This window comes from Homo sapiens, chromosome 2, assembly GCF_000001405.40.
Source record: "Homo sapiens chromosome 2, GRCh38.p14 Primary Assembly".
Classification (NCBI taxonomy): domain Eukaryota; kingdom Metazoa; phylum Chordata; class Mammalia; order Primates; family Hominidae; genus Homo; species Homo sapiens.
In genome coordinates this window covers 121,525,926-121,547,052 of record NC_000002.12, presented here as the reverse complement: position 1 = coordinate 121,547,052, position 21,127 = coordinate 121,525,926, and the positions used below count along the sequence as shown (strand labels likewise).

At 42.0% G+C, this 21,127-nt stretch overlaps 1 protein-coding gene, 1 long non-coding RNA gene and 1 other non-coding gene across 38 annotated transcripts in view, besides 2 other annotated features; 1 reads left to right on the top strand and 2 right to left on the bottom strand.

Annotated features, from left to right (window-relative positions):
- CLASP1 (cytoplasmic linker associated protein 1) overlaps nt 1-21,127 on the top strand; it is a 311,687-nt gene that overhangs the window by 102,410 nt on the left and 188,150 nt on the right. For all 36 annotated transcript variants that reach the window (XM_047443792.1, XM_047443782.1, XM_006712383.2 and 33 more), the window contains 3 exons: nt 16,728-16,806; nt 18,273-18,376; nt 19,163-19,254. In XM_047443792.1, coding sequence (XP_047299748.1) covers nt 16,728-16,806; nt 18,273-18,376; nt 19,163-19,254 — 275 coding nt within the window. The remainder of the gene's footprint in view (nt 1-16,727; nt 16,807-18,272; nt 18,377-19,162; nt 19,255-21,127) is intronic.
- On the bottom strand, nt 13,387-16,885 carry CLASP1-AS1 (CLASP1 antisense RNA 1). Its single transcript, XR_001739683.2, has 2 exons — nt 16,278-16,885; nt 13,387-14,675 (listed from the first exon to the last, which is right to left on the bottom strand). It is a non-coding gene; the product is annotated as a CLASP1 antisense RNA 1 (long non-coding RNA).
- Nucleotides 16,044-16,173, bottom strand: RNU4ATAC (RNA, U4atac small nuclear). Its single transcript, NR_023343.3, has one exon. It is a non-coding gene; the product is annotated as an RNA, U4atac small nuclear (small nuclear RNA).
- Nucleotides 16,496-16,625: an enhancer, noted in NCBI's record as "active region_16465". NCBI's record gives its function as "activates an Ori minimal core promoter by ATAC-STARR-seq in GM12878 lymphoblastoid cells {active_cell/tissue: GM12878}" and the evidence as "EXISTENCE:reporter gene assay evidence [ECO:0000049][PMID:35858748]".
- Nucleotides 16,816-17,015: a silencer, noted in NCBI's record as "silent region_11922". NCBI's record gives its function as "represses an Ori minimal core promoter by ATAC-STARR-seq in GM12878 lymphoblastoid cells {active_cell/tissue: GM12878}" and the evidence as "EXISTENCE:reporter gene assay evidence [ECO:0000049][PMID:35858748]".

Genomic DNA, 21,127 nt, shown 5'->3' with positions numbered 1-21,127 from the left:
TTTTCCAGTACCTGGAGGTATCAACAGTGAAGGCTGCAAAACAGCAGAGATAGTGGCCTGCCCCTCCCTCTGGGAGCTCTGTCCCAGGAAGGCACAGATCTGTTGCCAGCCCAAAGGCACCTGTAGGTGGTGGTTGGAGACCTCAGTTGGGAGGGCCCATCCCCTGAAGAGGAATGGGATCAGGGACCTGCTTAAAACAGCAGTCTGACCTCTTTTTCATAGAGCAGCCATGCTATGCTCAGGGTCTGCCCCTAGTTGCTTTGGGCACTTGAAACCCAAAGATGGAATTGCAGCTCCTTTTGCCCTGAAGCCCAGAAAGCCTGGGTATCTAAGGCTCTCGGGTCTCTGTTTGCGCCTGAGAAACTACTCTGCCAAGATTCCATGTAGCTCTGTGTCAGACTGAAGACCCTGGTGGAGTGGGTTCATGAGGCAGTCTCCTGACCCGAGGGTTGTAAAAAGGTCTGTGGAAGAAGCGTGGTTCCCGGGGTCCCATATTCACTCACTGCTTCCCTGAATGGGGGAGGTTCCCCTGGCTCCATTTCACTCCCAAGTGGGCCACCGTCCTGCCTTGCTTTTCTCCGTTTTCCATGGGTGGAGTTGTTTCCTTGATTGGTCCCAATGCGTGTACCTGGATGTTTAATTGAAGGTGCTGTGTTTACTCGCCCCTTCGCTCCTCTCGTGAGAGCTGCGCACACTAGATGCTTCTAGTCAGCCATCTTGGCCACCCCCCTACACTTTGATTTCTATATTTCATTTCTAGGTAGATACCTAGGAATGGAATTGCAGTCATAGGGTACGTGTGTGTTTCGTTTTTAAAGAAACTGCCAAGTTATTTCCAATGTAACTGAATTTTTTAGCTGTTCCTTGTTTTTACTTTTTCTGGGTATACCCTGAGAGGTAGTCTCATGGCTAAAGTATAGAGATGTGATAAATCACAGGAAATGTGTTGGGGTGGGATGTGAAAGGGAAAGGGCCTTGAAATCCATGGTTGGAAAGTACCTTGAAAGATCATTTCTGTTTCCAAGAGGCATTGCATGTAAAGCATGCCATACTTCTAAGAATCTTTCTGTTTTAAAAGGTGTTTTTGAAGCTCTCATTCTATAGAACTATAAATCCAATTAAAGAAAGTTTTTTTTTTTTAAGTAATGAGCAAACTATAATAGAATTTCAATTCTGAGACACTTTTTTTTTTAACCTCTACAGTTTTACCATCTCTGATATCAAGATGAGTCTTTTGATCAATTGGGTAACAGTTTGTCACCAGCTATTTCTTTGGTGTTCATAAAGTTGGTGGTGTCTTAGATTTGATGAAATATGGAAGATATTATTGGAATAAAGATTATAGTACCACCTATAAAATATTCTGGCCAGAAATGCTGAATCTGAATCTAGTTGGATCTCTAGAGCTGACTTCATCTGCAGGAAATGCAGATAGAGGGTCAAGTTCAACGATGCCCAAGGAAACAGACAAAGCTGACTGTGTCTCTTCATAACAGAACCGACCAGATTTCTACAGCACGAAAATGACACGAAAAGAAATGGGGTAGGAGGGGGCCCACTTTAGAGTCAGGGAGACTTTAGAATAACCTTGAGTTGTCATGTGCCATACCTGCTAAATGTCATGTGTGGATTTTTTTGGATCATGATTCAAGCAAATGTCTGCTCCGTGCCCGCCCCACCCCCGTGATTAAAAAAACCAAACAAATAAAAGAAAAACAAAAACTTTTTGGAGACAAACTTGGAGATTCAATTTTGGACCATCAGCTTTGTATTCCCCTGTTGATTTCTAACTTGCTCTCATTCTCTGCCCTTGCTGTGCTGATTTTAATTAGGTACCCAGGCCGGGTGCAGTGGCTAACACCTGTAATCCCAACACTTTGGGAGGCCGAGGCAGGTGGATCACTTGAACTGTCAGGAGTTCAAGACCAACCTGGCCAACATAGTGAAACCCTGTCTCTACTAAAAATACAAAAATTAGCTGGATGTGGTGGCACACGCCTGTAATCCCAGCTACTCGGGAGGCTGAGGCAGGAGAATTGCTTGAGCCTGGGAGGTAGAGGTTGCAATGAGCCAAGATCCCATCACTACACTCCAGCCTGGGTGACAGAGCGAGACTCCGTCTCAAAAATAAAAAAAAAAAAAAAAGAAAAGAAAAGAAAAGAAAAAGAAAGAAAAAATTAGGTGCCCTGCCATCATTCTGAGAATCCCTTTTGCCATCATCTTGGTAATTGCCTTCACCTCTCTTTTGAGTTGGCCCCTCTGTTTCTAGGATCCCATGTTTTTCACTTTTTTGGTTTATTTTCTTGTTTACTGACCCAGTTCTTTTTGTATGGAATGGAATTGCAGTCATGTGGTACGTGTGTGTTTAGTAACTCCTTATATGTCTAACAGCTTGTTCGTCTCTACCCTTATACTTGATTGATATTTGATCAAGTATATAGAATTCTAATAAGTGATCAATAAATTTTAAGTAAATAAATGAATGCACCTTTCCCCCTTTAAAAAAACATGTATTGCATGAATTTAGAGAGTATGTTAAGCACAGACTATTGTTATGTTTTTCCAGATTTCAATTTCAAAAAGGGGTAGTAATAGCTTTTTTTTTTTTTTTTTGTATATATTTTTTGAAAGTAGTAAAATGCCATCCTGGAGCTAAGATTTTTGTCAGGATTTAACCCTGGCATGAACTCTGAGAAAAATCAGTGGAAGGAGATTACTCCTTACTTGAGGAAGGAGTTGATTTGTCTCTCATGGTGCCTCTGTGGAGATTGGAATGCTGGGAGCTATAACCAATGAGCCAATTCACAGATATTTTGGTCTCTAAAATTAGTTACAGTACACTCTTGGAACGGCTTCTGTTACACACTTTTTGTCAGAAGCACAACCAGTGGGCAGATGGTTCTCTGGAAAAAGTAGACACAGAAGAGTGATTTGACTTGGGTGTCATTATAAACTTAGTGTTCTTGGTTTGCCCTTTTGTAAGACTAATGGATTAGTGAACATTATTTAAGCCACATAATCGCGGAGTGACCTTGCCTAATTATTTGTTCATCTTTTTGGGCTTAGTTTCCTTATCTGCAAAGTAGGCATATTTATAGTTATGATATTTGCCTCAAAATATTGTTGTGAGAATTAAATAGAGAATCTTTGTAAGATAGACGTTCACTGCCCCATGATTTCCTATCCACCCCCTACTTTTTTTTTACTGTCTCTGGGCAAGTGAGTGCATGAGAAAGGTTGTGTAAGAATCTGCTCTGCTTTGAGTAGTTTGTGGTCTTTTTGGAGAGTTACTTAGTATGCATATAAAGGAGATAGAAAAAAGTACTATTCAGATTGGGGTTTAGAGAAATTAGGAGGCTGGAGACCTTTTGGAGGGGGCTAGCTGGAACTGTCTCTTAGAAGGATTGGGACTTGGGCTTTGGAGGAGTCTAGGGAGACTCTAGGAATCTTGGGCAGGAGGAAGAGCTGTGAGTCCTGTTGGCGCGCTGGGGGCTGCTGGGAGAGAGGAACAGGTAGGTCAGCTTGGAAGCATATCAGGGAAAATTTTGAAAGTCCATATGGGAAACTTAGATCTTTGTTTATTTCCTTAAACCATCATGAATGTCTTGGTGCCTGATCTCATGTTTATGGGATGTATCTGGATGAGAGAGATTGCAAATTTAGAGGTCTGTGACTGGATATGACCCACAAATATGTTTTGTTTGGTCTCCTTAGTGCTTTAAAATTCTTTGGATAAGTTGCCAGGGTTTAAAATCAGGAGATGTGGCCTTACTGTCCTTCAGTCCCACATGTTATCAAGTGACTGGAGCTTTAAGAGGTGCCCCAAGTTTCCATGGCCCCCTTACCCCCATCACATAACCGGCCTTATTTTTACCTATGTGTCCGAGTTTGCAGCCAGTGGTCTAGAGCAGCACTGTCCAGTACAGTAGCCATGAGCCTCCTGTGGTGGTTTAAAGTTAAGATTAAGCAAAGTTAAATGAAAAGTCCTGTTCTGCATTTGCACTAGCTACCTTTCGTTTGCTCAGTAACCATATGCGGCTAGTGGCTACTGCATTGGACATCACCGTTGTAGAACATTTCTATCATTGCTGAAAGCTGTATTGGATTGGTCTAGGTCTTCAAACAAAGGTTACTAACTCTGCTTCTCATTGTATTTTAAACCTTGTCTCCTAGTGTGACTTGCCATATTGCTGGCCTCATGTGTAATAAAAGAAAGTGGTTTGATGGTGTGATGATCCTAAATACCTTTTGAAGGGTAAAATCCTTTATATGGACAATTACTGGTAATAGCCCATAACTTTGTAAGTCCCATTAATCCAATATTAATTAACGTATTTTAACAGACATTTACTTTTATGGTTTATAAACTATCTCTGGAGGGCATTCCAGAAGAGGAATTTTAAAAATAGACTGCGCAGTGGCATTGTTATTGGGTTGAGCACCCAGGCACTTCCTAGGTGACTGCTTTGAAGGATAACAAGTTTGGGTAACAGTAACTACTTCTGCCATCGTACATGTGTATGTGCAAAGTCACTGACTATCACACTTTTCTTGAGGGGGTATTTGTGTTGTGTTTTTATTCTTGAATGTGAAAATTACAGTGTAGAGTGCTAATTTCTCCTTACTTAGTGAGGTTGCAATCTAGTCTTTTAAAATAACTAAAAAATGTGTAGAAATCAGCAGGGCACAGTCCTGTTTTTAAAGCAGCACCTAGTGCATTACATTAAAAACAGAGCTAACAGTATAGTATACAGTGTGTTTTCTTTTTGACTCAGCAAATGTTTTCAGCATTTGTACTAAGAGGATGAGAGCACATATGTAGAAGTGTGCATCCATCATCGTTTTGTGTAAAATAATGAAAACCCTGCATATTAGTAGGACTGGGTGAGTGATGATGATACCTACGTACAATATTATAAAGCCACTGAAAATAGGGGTGTAGATCTGTATTTATTGACTTGGGAAGATGTCCATTGCACATTGAATGGAAAAATGTGCATGTGCGTGTGCCTGGATGTCTTGCAGGATAGTCACCAAAACAGTAACAGGGGTATTGTTGAGTGATGGAATTTTAGGCAACCTTATTTTCTTTTCTAGATTTCATGCCTACTTTGTTTGCCCCTTAACTCAGTAAGCCACGCTTTATTATTTTTAAAAGTGCTGCTCTCATAAAGAAGGGAAATAGTACTTACTGGGTGCCTGTGACATTCCGAGCATTTTGTTAAAACTTCGTTAGCCTCATGTGTACTCTTTAAGGTAAATGTATTATTATTCTGGTTTTATTGAGTGAGCATTTGAAGCTCGGAGATGGAGCAGCTGCCATGGGAGGAGAGCTGGATGTCAGCCCCAAAGATGTGCTTACAAAGCCAGTGCTTTTTTTCCTAGCTGAGGCATTCCCAGAGCCTCAGAGAGGTGTAGCGCCGAGGCTGACGTTTGAAGTTATCCGATATTGGCAGAGAAGGTCTTAAGCTAGCTAGAGAGAGAGAAAGAGAGATGAAAAAGACTAAAAATGTGGGGTTTTGTGTATATCATTATTATGTTATAGTGAAAATGGCTTTGGTGTAGTCAGGAGGCTCGGGCTTATTTGCAGTTTGGTCATTTACCAAACTTTACAACCCTGGATAAGTCTTTTGGTCTTTATTTTCCTTATTTCCAAAATAAGGATAATATATTCTATATCTCAGGATTATTGTGAGAGTACTCAGATTCATGCAAAATACCTTAAAACAATGAAGTGCAATATGAATGTGAACATTGTTTTTACCTTAGACAATCCAGTCTTCTGAAGCTTCAGAAATGGCCTGTTTTTACCACCTAGTTTGTCCCTTATGGATGTTTTTTTGGAGGAGAGGATTGAGTATTCCTTTCTTTGCTCAATGAGCAGACCTCATGTTCTGGAAAGATAACTGTTCCATTTTGGGGCCTTTACAAGTGTTTTGGAGGTCTAAGCTTCTTGTTATAAACTTATAGGTCTAGTGGTCAGCATCACTCCCACTGCTCTAATTTTTAAAACTTAAAACTGTGAAGTGTGTATAGAATGTGCACAAAACACAAAGACACAATTTAATGATGTATTTTAAAGCTAATAGCTGTTTAATTGATCTTCAGGACAAGAAATAGAACGTTGCTTAGGACATCGCCACCAGGACTCCCCTAAGTAACCACTCTTCTGACTTTTATGATAACTGCTTTCTGGCTTTTCTTTTTAGTTTTATTATCTAAATATGCACCTTAACATTACAGTTTATGTTTGCTTTTTTTTTTTTTGGATGGAGTCTCACTCTGTTGCACAGGCTGGAGTGCAGTGGCGCGATCTAGGCTCACTGCAGTCTCTGTCTCCCGGGTTCAAGCGATTCTCCTGCCTCAGCCTCCAAGTAGCTGGGATGACAGGCGCATGCCACTACGCCGAGCTAATTTTTTGTATTTTTAGTAGAAACGGGGTTTCACCATGTTGGTCAGGCTGGTCTTGAACTCCTGACCTCTTGATTCGCCCACCTCAGCCTCCCAAAGTGCTGAGATTACAGGTGTGAACCACCATGCCTGGCCATGTTTGCTTGGTTTTAAAAAATTGATGATTTTTAGAAATGGGGTCTCACTATCTTGCCCACACTGGACTTGAACTCCTGGGCTTAAGCGATCATCCAGCCTCAGCCTCCCAAGTAGCTGGGACTGTAGACACCACCGTGCCCACTTTATTTGCTTGTTTTTGAACTTCATAGAAATGTGGGTATGTTTCTGGCCTTTTGATTCATTCTTACAAGATTTTGTATTGCTGAGTGTAACTGTGATTCATTTATTTTCAGTGTTTATTGCATCTCTTAGTATGAAACCCACAACTTCAACATTCCACAGTGGATGGACTTAAGGATTTCTAGTTTTTGGCTACTGTAGTAGTGCTGCTCTGAGCATTCTTGCACATTTCACCTGTTATATGTATGCATGTGTTTCTGTTGGTTATATCCTAGCAGCAGTATTGCTGCATATCTTCAGATTTGTTAGCTAATGCCAATATGTTTTCTAAAGTGTTGATTATGCCAATTTACATTCCTGCTAGCATGTAGGAGAGTTTCTGTGGTACCACACCCTTGTTAACACTCAGTCTTGTGGGTCTTTTTCCGTTTTAGCCATTGTGAGTGTGCGGTAGTGTCTCATTTAATTTGCAGTTCCTTGATGACTAGTAGAAATTGAACAACTTTTCTTAGAATGTTGACCATTGGTATCTTCTGTGAAGTGCCTCTTCACATATTTTGCCTGTTTTTCTACTGGCTTGCCTATCAGTTGCTTTGTAGAGCACCTTTATATATTCTAGAAACAAGCCTGTTGTTGCTTATTTGTTTTGTAATATCTTCTTCTAGCGTGACTTGACTTTCACTTTCTTAAGTGGTTTTGATATGCCAAAGTTCTTAATTCTAATTTGGTCCAGTTCATCAATCTTGTCCTTTATGGTTTGTGTTTATTGTGTCCTGATATTTTCCTCTATCCTGGGATCTTGAAGCTATTATGTTATTTTCTAAAAGGTTTATTGCTTTGCTTTCTGCACGTTTATCTATTATCAGGAATTCATTTTTGTGCAGGGTGTGAGATAGGAGTCAACTTCTTTTTAAATCCATGTAGATATTCAGTTGATCCAGGGGCATCAATTTAAAAAGTAGCCGTATTGTCACTGCTCTGTAATGCCTGCTTTGTCATAAAATACCCTCATAGGCCCGAATCTGTTTCTTTATCCTGTCTGTTGGTGTGTCTGTCCATCAACTGATAGCACATTGTCTTAATTCCTGTGATATTGTAATAAATCTTGATATCCACGGGGAGCAAGTTTTATCACCTTGTTTAACCAAAAGAGTGCCTTGCCATTCGTATTATCACACGTATTTTGGAATCAACTTATTTAGTTCTTAAAAAAATATATGTTTGTGTTTATTAGGGTTTTTAGTGGAATGTTATTGAATGTTTAGATCAATTTGGGAGAACTGAAAATTTCACAGTACTGAGTATTCCAGCCTATAGTTTTATCTTTCCGTTTATTTTAGCTATCTTAAAAAAATTTTAAAAATTGTTACATAGCTTTTTGGGCAGATATTTATTTTGGCTAGATTTATTCCTAGGTGTTTATTTTTATAAAATTAAAAATAGGAACATTTTTAACTTTCCTTTTTGGCTTATTATGAGAATAGAAATGTAATTTTTTTCATATATATTGGCTTTGTATTAGTCTTGCAAAACTTAATTTTATAATGCACCTTTAGATCTTGTAGTTTTTTTTTTTTTGAGACTGAGTCTTGCTCTGTCGCCCAGGCTGGAGTGCAGAGGCGCAATCTTGGCTCACTGCAACCTCTGCTTCCTGGGTTCAAGCAATTCTCTGCCTCAGCCTCCCGAGTAGCTGGGATTACAGGTGCCCACTGCCATGCCTGGGTAATTTTTGTATCTTTAGTAGAGATGGGGTTTCACCATCTTGGTCAAGATGGTCTCCATCTCCTGACCTCGTGATCTGCCCGTCATGGCCTCCCAAATTGCTGGGATTACAGGCATGAGCCACCATGCCTAGCGCCTTCTAGATTTTTTTTTTACGCAGTTGTATTTTCCATTCAGAATGATAATCTTTTTTTGTCAATTTTCATACTTTTTTTAAAAAAATTTTTTGAGACGGAGTTTTGCTCTTATCACCCAGGCTGGAGTACAATGGCGCAATCTTGGGTCACTGCAACATCTGCCTCCCGGTTTCAAGCGATTCTCCTGCCTCAGCCTCCCAAGTAGCTGCGATTACAGGCATGCACCACCACGCCCGGCTAATTTTGTATTTGATTAGAGACGGGGTTTCTCCATGTTGGTCAGGCTGGTCTCAAACTGCTGACCTCAGGTGATCCACCTGCCTTGGCCTCCCAAAGTGCTGGGATTACAGGCTGAGCCACCACACCTGGCCACTTTTATTTTTTTTTCTTGCCAAAATTAGTTAGCTAGGACTGTAGATATAATGTTGAACAGAAATTGTACAGTGGATATTTTTGTCGTGTTCCAGTCTCAGAGAGAAAGCTTTCAGCATTTCATCATTAAGTGTGATGCTTTTTGTAGGTTTGAAAAAAATATATCCTTTATGAAGTTAAGGAAGAATCTTTCTCTTCCTAATCTGCTAAGAATTTTTAATCATGAATGCAGTGGATGTTCAATTTCTCAGATGCTTTGTATCTTTTGCGGTGATTAACATAATAAAGGGGAAAATCATGTTATTAATATGGCAAGTTACATGGAATGATTTATTGTTAAACCAGTAGCACCAGGACAGTCACTAAAATTGAATTTAAAAGAATGGATAGCTTCTAAGATAAGTATTGAAAAGTTCTTTTAGTTTTTGTATGAGAATTATTTCACTTTCTAGAAAGGTATATTTTACAGATCATAGAATTATAGGTTGGTAATTAGTAATTGTCTTTCTTCACTTTGCTGATGCATTTCTTTATTGTTGGCAGTATTGGTCTTAATTTTCATCTTTTAAACAATGTAGCTAATGTATCTAGGTTTGGGTTTCTTTTTCCTTAGTGTGGTGTGATACACTGGGCTTCTTGAATCTGTGGCTTGATGTTTTTCTTCAGTTTTTGGAACATTTTCAGCCATTATCTCTTCAGGTATTGCTTCTCTCTCTCTCTCTCTCTTTTTTTTTTTCTTGGACACAGGATCTTGATCTGTCACCCAGGCTGGAGTGCAGTGACAAGATCACGGCTCACTGCAGCCTCAACCTCCTGGGCTCGAGCGATCCTCTCTCCTCAGCGATGCGAGTAGCTGAGACTACAGGCTTGTGCCACCAGGCCTGGCTAATTTTTGTATTTTTTGTAGAGACAGGATTTTGCCATGTTGCTAAGGCTAGTCTCAAACTCCTGGGCTCAAGCGATCTGCCTGCCTTGACCTCTCAAATTGCTGGGATTACAGGTGTGAGCCACTGTGCCCGGCCTTTTATTCTTTTTAAAGGTGTATAATTCAGTGGTTTATAGTACATTCACAGAGTTATACAACCATCACCATTATCTAATTTTAGAGCATTTTTATTGCCCCATAACACAAGCTTCATAACCATCAGCTATTGTTTAAAAGTTATTTCTAATTGTAGTAAGACATACAGAACATAAAATTCACCATGTAACTAGTTTTGTGTACAATTCAGCGGCATGAAGTACATTTGAATTATGCAACCATCACCAACGTCTCTTTCCATAATGTTTTTCTCTTGTAAAACTGAAACCCTGTAGCCATTAAATAATAACTCTCATTTCTCCCTTCCACAATCCCTGGCAGCCACCAGTCCACTTTCTGTATCAGTGAATTTGACTACTCTAGGTGTTTCATGTAAGTGGAACCAGACAATATTTGTCTTTGTGACTGGCTTACTTTATTCCACATAATGCCTTCAAGGTTCATCCATGTTGTAGTGTTTCAGAAAAGGCCTAAAGTTCCATTGTATGGGTAGACCAGGAGACTCCATTTTGTATATCCATTCATCTGTCAATCAACACTTCAGTTGTTTCCACCTTTTTACTCCTGTAGATAATGATGCTGTGAATATGGGTTTACAACTGTCTTTGGAAACTCTGCTTTTACTTCTTTTGGGTATATGCCCAGAAATGGAATTGCTGGAATCATATGGTAATATTATTTTTAATCTTTTTTTTTTTTTTTTTTTTTTTTCAGACAGTCTTGCTCTGTCGCCCAGGCTGGAGTGCAGTGGCACAATCTCGGCTCACTGCAAGCTCCGCCTCCCAGGTTCATGCGATTCTCCTGCCTCAGCCTCCCGAGTAGCTGGGACTACAGGTGCCCGTCACAACGCCCGGCTAATTTTTTGTATTTTTACTAGAGACGGGGTTTCACTGTGTTAGCCAGGATGGTCTCGATCTCCTGACTTCGTGATCTGCCCACCTCGGCCTCCCAAAGTGCTGGGATTACAGGCGTGAGCCACTGTGCCCAGCCCTAATCTTTTTTGAGGAACTGCTATAACCATTTTCCACAACAACTCTACCATTTTACACTTCACCAGCAGTATACAAGAGTTCCAGTTTCTCTACATCTTTACCAACAGTATTTATTTTTTATTTTTTAATAAAATAGGGCTGGGTGCAGTGGCTCATGCCTGTAATCCCAGCACTCTGGGAGGCCAACACAGTCGGATCGCTTGAGTCCAGAAGTTCAAGACCAGCCTGGGCAACATGGCAAAACCTCTCCTCTACAAAAGCTCAAAAAATTAGCTGGGTGGTGTGTTGGCACGCGCCTGTAGTCCCAGCTACTGGGGAGGGGGCAGGTTGCTGAGGCGGGAGGATCACTTGAAGCTGGGAGATGGAGGTTGCAGTGAGCCGAAATCACGCAACTACACTCCAGCCTGGGTGACAGAGCATGATCCTATCTCCAAAAAAAAAAAAAATTCTAATGAATGTCAGCCGTTACTTTTTACCTATTGTCTCTCATTTCTTCTTTTTAAATTCCATTTAAACTTGATGTTTTCTCTCTATTCTCTCTTGCCTATTCTTTTGAATATTCCATCTTTTTGCTTCTCTTTACTTTATTCTGGATTTTTTCTGCAGACTTAGTTTCCTGTTTAGTTCTCTTCATGTATTTACAGTGCACTTAGGAAAAAGAGCCCATGCATTGAGTATTTAATTTTCTCTTGTATTATTTGTTTAACCTATGTAACTTTAAAAGTTGTCATTTCTCTACCCAAAACTTTAATCATGTGTTTTTTCTTCTTAGACATAATAAGACTGGTTATTTAATTTAATTAATTTATTTATTGAGACAAGGTGTCTCTCTGTCACCCAGGCTGGAGTGCAGTGGCACGATCTCCACTCGCTGCAACTTCCGCCTCCCAGGCTCAAGTGATCCTCCCACCTCAGCCTCCCGAGCAGAGCAGCTGGGACCACAGGTGCATGCCACCACGCCCAGCTAAGTTTTGTATTTTTTCGTAGAGGTGGCATTTCGCCACGTTGCCCAGGCTAGTCTTGAACTCCTAAGCTAAGGCAATCCGCCTGCCTCTGCCTGCCTTGGCCTCCCAAAGTGCTGGGATTACAGGCGTGAGACACCACACTCGGCCTGACTTGTTATTTTAAAGTCCGTTTGCAATTATTCTCCTATCCAGGGACCCAGAGTCCAGGTTGGTCTTTGTTTCTGCTAGTTTTCACTTTGTCCTGTGTGACTGGTTATCTTTGGTTGTGTTTCAGATGTTCTCTTTGAAAAATTGTTACAGGAATAGGCCAGGCACAATGGCTCAACGTCAGTAATCCCAGCACTTTGGGAGCTGAGGCAGGCAGATTGCTTGAGGTCAGGAGTTCAAGAACAGTCTGTCCAACATGATAAAACCCCGTCTCTACTAAAAATACAAAAATTAGCTGGGCTGATAACACGTCCCAGCTACTTGGGAGGCTGAAGCACGAGAATCTCTTGAACCCGGGAGGCGGAGGTTGCAGTGAGCAGAGATCGTGCCATTGCACTCCAGCCTGGGCAACAGAGCGAGACTCTGTCTCAAAAAAACAAACAACAACAACAACAAAAGAAAATTTTTACAGGAATAATCCGAGGACTAGATTATTAGGATGATGTTTTCTTTATCCAGAAATGACTTGTGTTTTTATCTGCTCAGGGCTTTTGGGCACAAACAGTCTAACCTCACTTTAATCTGATGTCAGGGATTAGGATTTTTCTGGGCCACCCAGATGCTTGGAAACTGGGCTGCAGTCCCTGTGAAGGCTGTTTTATTTCCAACTCACTCTCCTCCTAAAGTCTAGCCATTTGGGTTTCCAGCACATGTGGTAGGGGGTTAACTAGGTCACCAACTTTGGAGGGCTTTGGAATCTAACCTTTGCCCTCCTAGATGACCCAAGAGGTTATTAAAAGTGATTCTCTGTGCCCTTTCCCAGTGTATAAATGGCCCCAGGGCAAAGTGAACCAGTTGTTGCAGGCTTATATCTGTAAATTTTGGTTGTCTCTGTTTCTTGACCTGGAAGTTCTTCTGTGCCTTCTTAGTTCTCTGATGCTGCAGGTGTCCTTTTATGTCCAGCATTTTTTAGTTGTGCTCGGCAGGAGTGTTGGTCCCAGTGACCTGGTCAGCCCTCTTCTCTCTTTTACAAAAGAGTCTTTTAAAGGTTTGTAGGATAAAGAAGATGTGTTGGACCTTGAGAACTCATCTATTCCAGTCTCATTCACATCAATACAGTAGGGTTTATTGATCACCTACCGTGTACCCAGCATTGTGCTACTTATTATGGGAATTCTGAGGAAATGCAAGATGATAGTATTCCTTACATTCAAGGAGTGTAGCTGGGGAAACAAGCACAAACGTAGATAATTAAGTAAAATGTCAGAGTCAAGGGTCACGCAGAGTTAATGGTGTTGGAAGAAAAAAATTACAACAAATTTAAAGATTTTGATTGACTTTTATTCGTGACTTTAGAATCAGGTAACACCTCATTCCATAAAACAGAATTGTGTATTCCAGTGAGCCATGCAGAAGAAGTTGGTTTTATAAACCTAAGGGCTGAAGAAAGCAGAAATAGGGGGAAAAAAAAAGTACCCTTACCACGTGCCAGGCACAGTTTACATACACACTTTATTTAACCCTCACAACAACCCACGAGGCAGCTGTTATTATTGTCCATGTTTTACAGATGAGGAGGTTAGGCACAAAGAGGTTTTTATAGTTAATTATCAGAGTGGTCTTCTGGGCAAGGACTTTTTCATGTATCCCTTTCTTCAGTAGGGAAATGGAAACCCAGGAGAAGGGCCTGAGCTGTGAAAGTGCCTGGAACTGCCTTCTGTCCTCCTGGCTGACACCCTGGACCTCTCCTGTCCTATTTCTCTGGGGCTCAGGTGCATCTACCCACTCAGTCTTCTTCGGGAGTTTCCAGGCTCCCCAGTTCCTCTAGGCAACGCATTGAAACTTGACTGTCCGGGGCTTAGCGAGGCCTTCTCTGCTCAGACCTACCAAGTAAACTGCCATCCTGGAAAAGCTGACGTCAGCTTTCCCCCAAATAAACAATAGTCCTCTTTACCTTAGCCTTGAACGATGTATGAAGGGATGTTTCTGTCATGAATAACACCCCTACCTGCAACCAGTAATGCAACTGTGCAGATAAGCTTAAGATTTCACCAGACAAAAGCTAAATAACTCACTTAAGTGATGGGCTGTTCTTTTTAAAAAATAAACTTTTTTACAGAAAAATTACAAATATCTCATTATTATATCTAACATTAATGTGGTTTATTACAATTAATGAGCCAGTATTGATGTATTATTATTAACTAGAGTTCATGCTTTATTCATATTTCCTTAGTTTCTACCTAAGGAAAAATGTCATCTTTCTGTTGCACACTCTTTTCCAGGATACCTCATTACCTTTAGTTGTTATGTTTCCCTTGGCTCCTGTTGCTGTGACAGTTTCTCAGAGTTCTTGTTTTTGATGACCTGGACAGTTTTGAGGGGTACTGGTCAGGTGTTTTGTAGGATGCCCCTCTATTGGAATTTCTCTGATGTTTTCCTCATGTTTAGACTGAGCTTAAGGGTCTTGGGAAGGACTGTCACAGGCAAAATGCCGTTTTCATGACATCATATGACGTGTACTTGATGTTGACCTCCACCATCTGGCTGAGGTTGCGTCTGTCAGTTTTCTCCGCAGGATAGTTACTCCTCCACTTCATACTGTACTCTGGAAGGAAGTCATAGTGTGAAACCTAATCCCTTTTAGCTGGAAAGTAGAGTCATTATTTTAAAGTGTTTATACCATTATTATATTATTTAAAAAATCTGTTTACAAATTGTTCTCTTTATAAAAGTTTTAAAAATTATTTTCTTCAATATTGTCAAGTAGCCAGTTTCTTGCAAGAACATTTTATGTATTGTGGGGATTATTGGGCCAATTTAGATTCCTTCAGTTTTGAAGCAGTAGATTTCAAAGCTGAATAGAAAAGTCTGCAGTTTTTGCTTTTATCAGCCGCCAGAGGCAGGCAGGCACAGGCTGTATACAAGAAATCCTAACTGTTGCCCCGTCCTGTTTGGTTGTTGTGTGAACATTGGGCAGTGCCCGGCTTTGTGTTGGAAGCATGTTTAATGAAGTCTCACAGTGCAAAACTGCTTCATACGGAGGAAGGGTTTAATCTGACTATTGGACCATTCCACAAAAAGCTCACTATTTCACATTTCTTTTTCTTTTTTTTTTTGAGACCGAGTCTTGCTCTGTCGCCAGGCTGGAGTGCAGTGGCCCGATGTTGGCTCATTGCAACCTCCGCCTCCCAGGTTCAAGCGATTCTCCTGCCTCAGCCTCCCAAGTAGCTGGGACTACAGGCATGCGCCGCCACGCCCAGCTAATTTTTGTATTTTTAGTAGAGACGGGGTTTCACCATGTTGGCCAGGATGGTCTCTATCTCCTGAGCTCCTGATCCGCCCGCCTCGGCCTCCCCAAGTGCTGGGATTACTATTTTTTTTTTTTTTTTGAGATGGAGTCTCGCTGTCGCCCAGGCTGGAGTGCAGTGGCGCGATCTCTGCTCACTGCAGGCTCCACCCCCCCGGATTCACGCCATTCTCCTGCCTCAGCCTCCCGAGCAGCTGGGACTACAGGCGCCGGCCACCTCGCCCGGCTAATTTTTTGTATTTTTAGGAGAGACGGAGTTTCACTGTGTTAGCCAGGATGGTCTCGATCTCCTGACCTCGTGATCCGCCCCCCTCGGCCTCCCAAAGTGCTGGGATTGCAGGCGTGAGCCACCGCGCCCGACCTGGATTACATTTTATGTGAGGTGCAAAGACCTACTGAAACTTCGTCTCCTATTGAAACTTGACCTAGACTACTGGGCTGACTCAGCATAAGGAAGTTACAGAACAGTTGATGATCGGCGTAAAGTTAAAGGGGTGAAGTTCTGTTGAAATCCTTCCCGTTTAATCACCGCAAAAACTGAAAGAACTTTACTTGCGACACTAAAACCACGCGTCTTGTGCACCCTCTACTGGTTTAACCACAAAGTACTAGTTTATTTACGAATTACTGCTGTTTGAACTGATAAGTCTATGAAAACAGGTTTTCATTTTTCCAAAAATTGCACCAAAATAAAGCAAAAGCTCTAGTTGATGCGGGTGTGTTGTTCAGGCGTTAGCAGTACTGCCCTCACTATGCGCTCATTGGACAGTAGCGCAACCCCAAGAAAAGGATGGTTATAATAGAAAGTCCCTGGGCTGCAAGCAGGAAGCGCCAATACCTGGTAGGGTTGTGGTAATTAATTCGTGAGCCTCGCCCTAGTCGGTCTGGTAGCTAGCTTACCTCCAGCCTCCACAGCTTTCGACGACACCCCAATTCTTTGTTTTCTGAGGCTCCCGAAGGGTCGCAAAAGCGGCGGCTCGGTTTTACCCAGAAGACCGCGCGTCGGCCGCTCGAAAATTTGCATACGCTTTTCTCGCCGGGGCGGGGCTGGCGGGGGCGGGACCGCGGCGCGCTCTTGAACTCCACCCGCAGCTAACCCGGGTTTGGCTACGCTGTATTGCCTTTTATTTCGTTTCTCCTCACCGAGTATTTTCCATTATAGCTGTACATAGCTCTTTTTGTGGAAGATCATCCTTCTTCGTGCTAATCTCTTTGGTCCTCCAGTCGGCATGCGTCTGGACTCTCGGACTGCGTCTGGGCCGGAAATGTCTAGGCCTCCCCGGAGCGGGTGGGCGGGAGCGCTGCCCCGCAGGCCGGCTGCTAACAGGCTCCCGGTGTTTCCCGCTGCAGGTGGTTCTGCTGGGCATGGACATCCTGTCCGCCCTGGTGACCCGGCTGCAGGATCGGTTCAAGGCGCAGATCGGCACAGGTGAGCTGCGGCACTTGTGGAGCGGACCCGGCCCCTTCAGACCCCCAGCCTTCCCTCGGCCTCCCCGGCTCCCAAACCCTCCCGGCAGCCACCCTGCCTCCCCTCCAGCCCCCTCTCCCTCCCTTCCGCTCCTCCCAAACAGCCAGTCCCCGCCCTCCCCCGCAGCCCCCCTAAGCACTCGCAGCCTGGGTCGGCCGCCCCGCTGCCTTCCCTTCCAGCTGGACTCCCCTGGCCTCTGGGCCTGCGGGCGCCCTTACCCTCCCCCATACCTTTGTACTGGCTTCACTGTGTTCTCACACGGAACTTAGTAATACGTGTTCTAATATGAAATATTAGTGCCATTTTTATTTCTTATGCTAAATTAGCTGTCACTCTTTAGTGCCAACCAAGTCATATTTTACCCTGACCCCGGTCCCCTTTAATGAGAGGCAGTTTTCCTTGAGAAATCCTATAAAACCAAGCCAGTTGTATTTTTCTCCAGATGATTATGGTTGGCATGACTATTTTCACCTTGATTGTAAATGTCATTACAAATGTATAGTAAATGTTCACTCTTATTTTGAAGGGAAAACAGTATGTCAGCAAAATGAAACAAAACCCACAGATTTCATAGATTTAAATACCTCTAAATTCCTGACCTCCGGTGTTTCATGGGGGTAGTATAAACACTAAGCATCTCTATGCAACCATTTCCTTATGGAATTTCTCTGTTTTACGTTGGTACACATGTATTCTTTACTGTTAACTTTCCGACCAATATGCTCCTTCTGAAAAGGTCATGAGCACCGACTGTTTACAAATTTAAAAAAAGCTTTTACTTTTAGACATTTGATATTTTAATAGTGTTCCATTTTCCTCCTAAATTAGCTGAATTATTCAGGGATATCTCATGTAATAGAGGTTTACAAACTCTTAAAATAAGCTGATCTCTGGTCTACAGGTGCACTTGGACCACTGGTGGGAGGGTCCACCCTGGGTATGTCGGGGAAGATGGAGAGCTGGGCTCTGTCTCATGTGTGTATGGGCGTGATGTAAAACTAAAAATACACAATAGTGATGAAACTTAAGATTTATTCATAAGTGCCCACTCCTTCCACCCCCAAACACATATACTGGAGCCCCTCTCCTTGTGTTTTACCTAAATTTTCCTTTCTGTTGACTCTTCCTCTCAAGGTCTTCCATTTTTATCAGCTTACAAATACGTTGGGAACTGGCTGGAGGAACGTGGGGTAAGGAGGAAGACAAATAGTGTATCTGTCCATGCAAAGGATTTTGCAGACTCTTTTGGTGACTTTCATGGACTTCAGCAAGGAGAGTAGAGCTGTGAGCAAAGATGAGTGGTTTTAGAATGAGATACATCATTTAGGTCAGGGGTTTGTCTTCCCACATAATTGAGATAGGAATACTTGGTGACCACAGACCCCCAAATAGGGTTTCATTTGATCAGTTTCCATTTTGATTTTCAGTGCTGCCAAGTCTAATAGACAGACTAGGAGATGCTAAAGACTCTGTGAGGGAGCAGGACCAAACTCTGCTGCTAAAGATCATGGATCAAGCTGCTAATCCCCAGGTAGGGGCAAGAGATGTGTTTTGAGGTCAGCTGGCCAGTGCGCGTGCATGCACGTGCGAGGGTGTGTGTGTGTACTTGCACAAATGGTGTGACTCCATAGACTTAAGCTGATGTATTACAGATAAAAATTTTCACAGCATTCAATCTGTTTCCCCATGCAAGATATTTAAATAAGTCACAAAACTATGAGATGAGTAAATTAGTGGATTTAACATGGGGGTATTGAATCTAATATACTTAGTTTTAATCCATTAGACTCTTCAGCTCATTTATGTAACCGACTCTCCAATTCTCTGAAAAGAGGGAGCTGTGGTGTCTGGGGAGTCAGGAGGCCTGGCTGGAGCCCTGGCCCCTGTCTTCCGGTGAATTGGGGCTGCTGGGATGGACCAAAACAGCCCTGCTTTCCCAGCTTCTACTGTCCTTTATTGGGGGGTGATCAGAAAAAACAGAGGCCAGTGTGAGTGTGTGATCTTTGGCAACTCACTAGCTCCTTTGGCCTTGCTTTCCTCACCCATAAAATGAGGACAGTTATACCTCTCTTTCAGGGTTCTTGGGAGAATTAAATGCAATTATGTAAATGAATGTGTTTTAAAAATTGTAATTTGATATACTTGATAACATGATAGATGTCATCATTTTCCAGTATGCTCTCGAGAGGATTAAATGTGTTGGTAGAGGATGGGACTAATTTGGCGCTCGTTAAGAGGCTTGCCTTCTATTGCTCCCTTATAAAGTGTCAGCTGCAGCAGTCTTCTCCTTTCCTCACCTGTTCTTTGTCATCTGCAGTACGTATGGGACAGAATGCTTGGAGGCTTCAAACACAAGAATTTCCGTACTCGAGAAGGCATCTGTCTCTGCCTTATAGCAACACTCAATGCGTAAGTCTGGGATGAGCCTGACATTTTTACGTGGCTGAATTTTTTAAAACTTTTTATTTTGAAATAATTATAGATTTACAGGAAGTTGCAAAGAAGTGTAGTGTGAGATCTCATGCCCCCTTTACCCACCCTTGCCCAGTGTTAGCACCTTGAATAACTATAGTACAGCATCAGTACCAGGAAGTTGAGATGGATACAATCCCTAGAACTTGCGCAAATTTCTCAGGTAAAACCACATGTGCATTTGTGTGTATATACAACTGCACAGTCACTGCCGGGCTCCTTCATGCTGCTGTGTGTAGCTGCACCCTGACCCCTGGCAACCATGAATGTATTTGAATTTCCAGGAATCTGTTCTCCCTCCCTATGATTTTGTCATTTCAAGAATGTTATGTAAATGGAATTATACAATATGTAACCTTTTGAGTTTATCTTTTTTTCACTCAGCATAATGCCCTTGAGTTTGCACCTGACATTTGATAGTTCATTTTATTGCTAAATAGAATTCCTTGGTATAGATGTGTCACAGTTGGTTAAACTAGTCACCTGTTGAAGAACATTTGGGTAATTTCCAGTTTTTGGCTTTTATGAATAAAGCTGCTATGAACATTCATGTACAAGTTTCTACATGAACATAAGTTTCCATCTCTCTTGGATCACTGCCCAAGAGTACACTTGCTGGGTGATTTGGTAAGTTCATTTTTAGTTTAAAAGGTACTGCCAAGTTTTTCCCCAGAGTTGTCCATACTGTTTTACATTCCTACCAGCAATGTCCGAATAATCTGGTTTCTTCATACCCTTGCTAGCCATTGGATGTTGTCATTTTTTTATTTTAGCCATTTTTATATGTGTGTAGTAATACCTCATTGTGGTTTTAATTTGTATTTATCTAATGGCTGTTGATGGTGAACATTTTTTTCATGTGCTTATTTGTAGGAGAGGCTTTTTAAAAATTATAAATTTCAAGCCTTTTTTTCTGATTATGAAAAAATACTGTATATATCATAAAAATGTACGCAAGGAAAAAATAAAGATTGCTATGATTCTGTTACCTTCAGGTAATCACTGTTAAATTTGGTGCATTTTATCCTAACCTGTAAAGTTATGTTATTTTTAAAAACAAAATTGAGATTATAATGTTTATATTACTTGTAAATTTTTTCCATCTTAATATGTTAGCCTTTTCAGTGCCATTAAATTTGGCCATATGTAACTGAAGCTTAAGAAAAAAAAAAGAAAACTTCTAGCCTTTGATCACAGTAGCTCCAGTTTTAGGAATGTATGCTAAGGTAGTAGGCAGATTAACCAAGAGATTTTTATTCACAAAGGCTATTTGTCATGACAGGGATGGTGATGGTGAAAATTGTAACTCAAATGTGCCCCAGTAGGGCAGTACTTGGCTCAGATGTGCCCCAGTAGGGTAGATGCTCTGATTTGATTGCAGTCTTTTCATCCAGCGGTGTTGCCTGAATGTCTAGCTCTGCCACAGCACACGGGAGAATTAAACAAGGTCCCTCAAGTGACTCGTAGTTGGCTTAAAGTGACAGACAGTAATGCAGAGGCAGCACCTGTGAGGCAAGCGGGACCTGGGGGGCTGGAGCTCTGGCCCAGCCTTAAAGGGTTAGGGCCAGATTGGCCAGAGCCCTGGGGGACAGGACGAAGACTTATCTGGGAGAAGCCACCCTAGGTTTTGAACTCTGTGCAAAGGGGCCATCGGACACATTTACTTTGGAGCCAGTGTGGATGGGATGGAGAGAGACTTGGTATGAGGTGGTGATGGGGATTGGGGAGACACGGGAAGGGCAGGTGTGGGCAGACAGGCATCTTTCTTTCTTTCCTCAGTTCTCACTAACAAGAAAGCACTCCTTTTGTT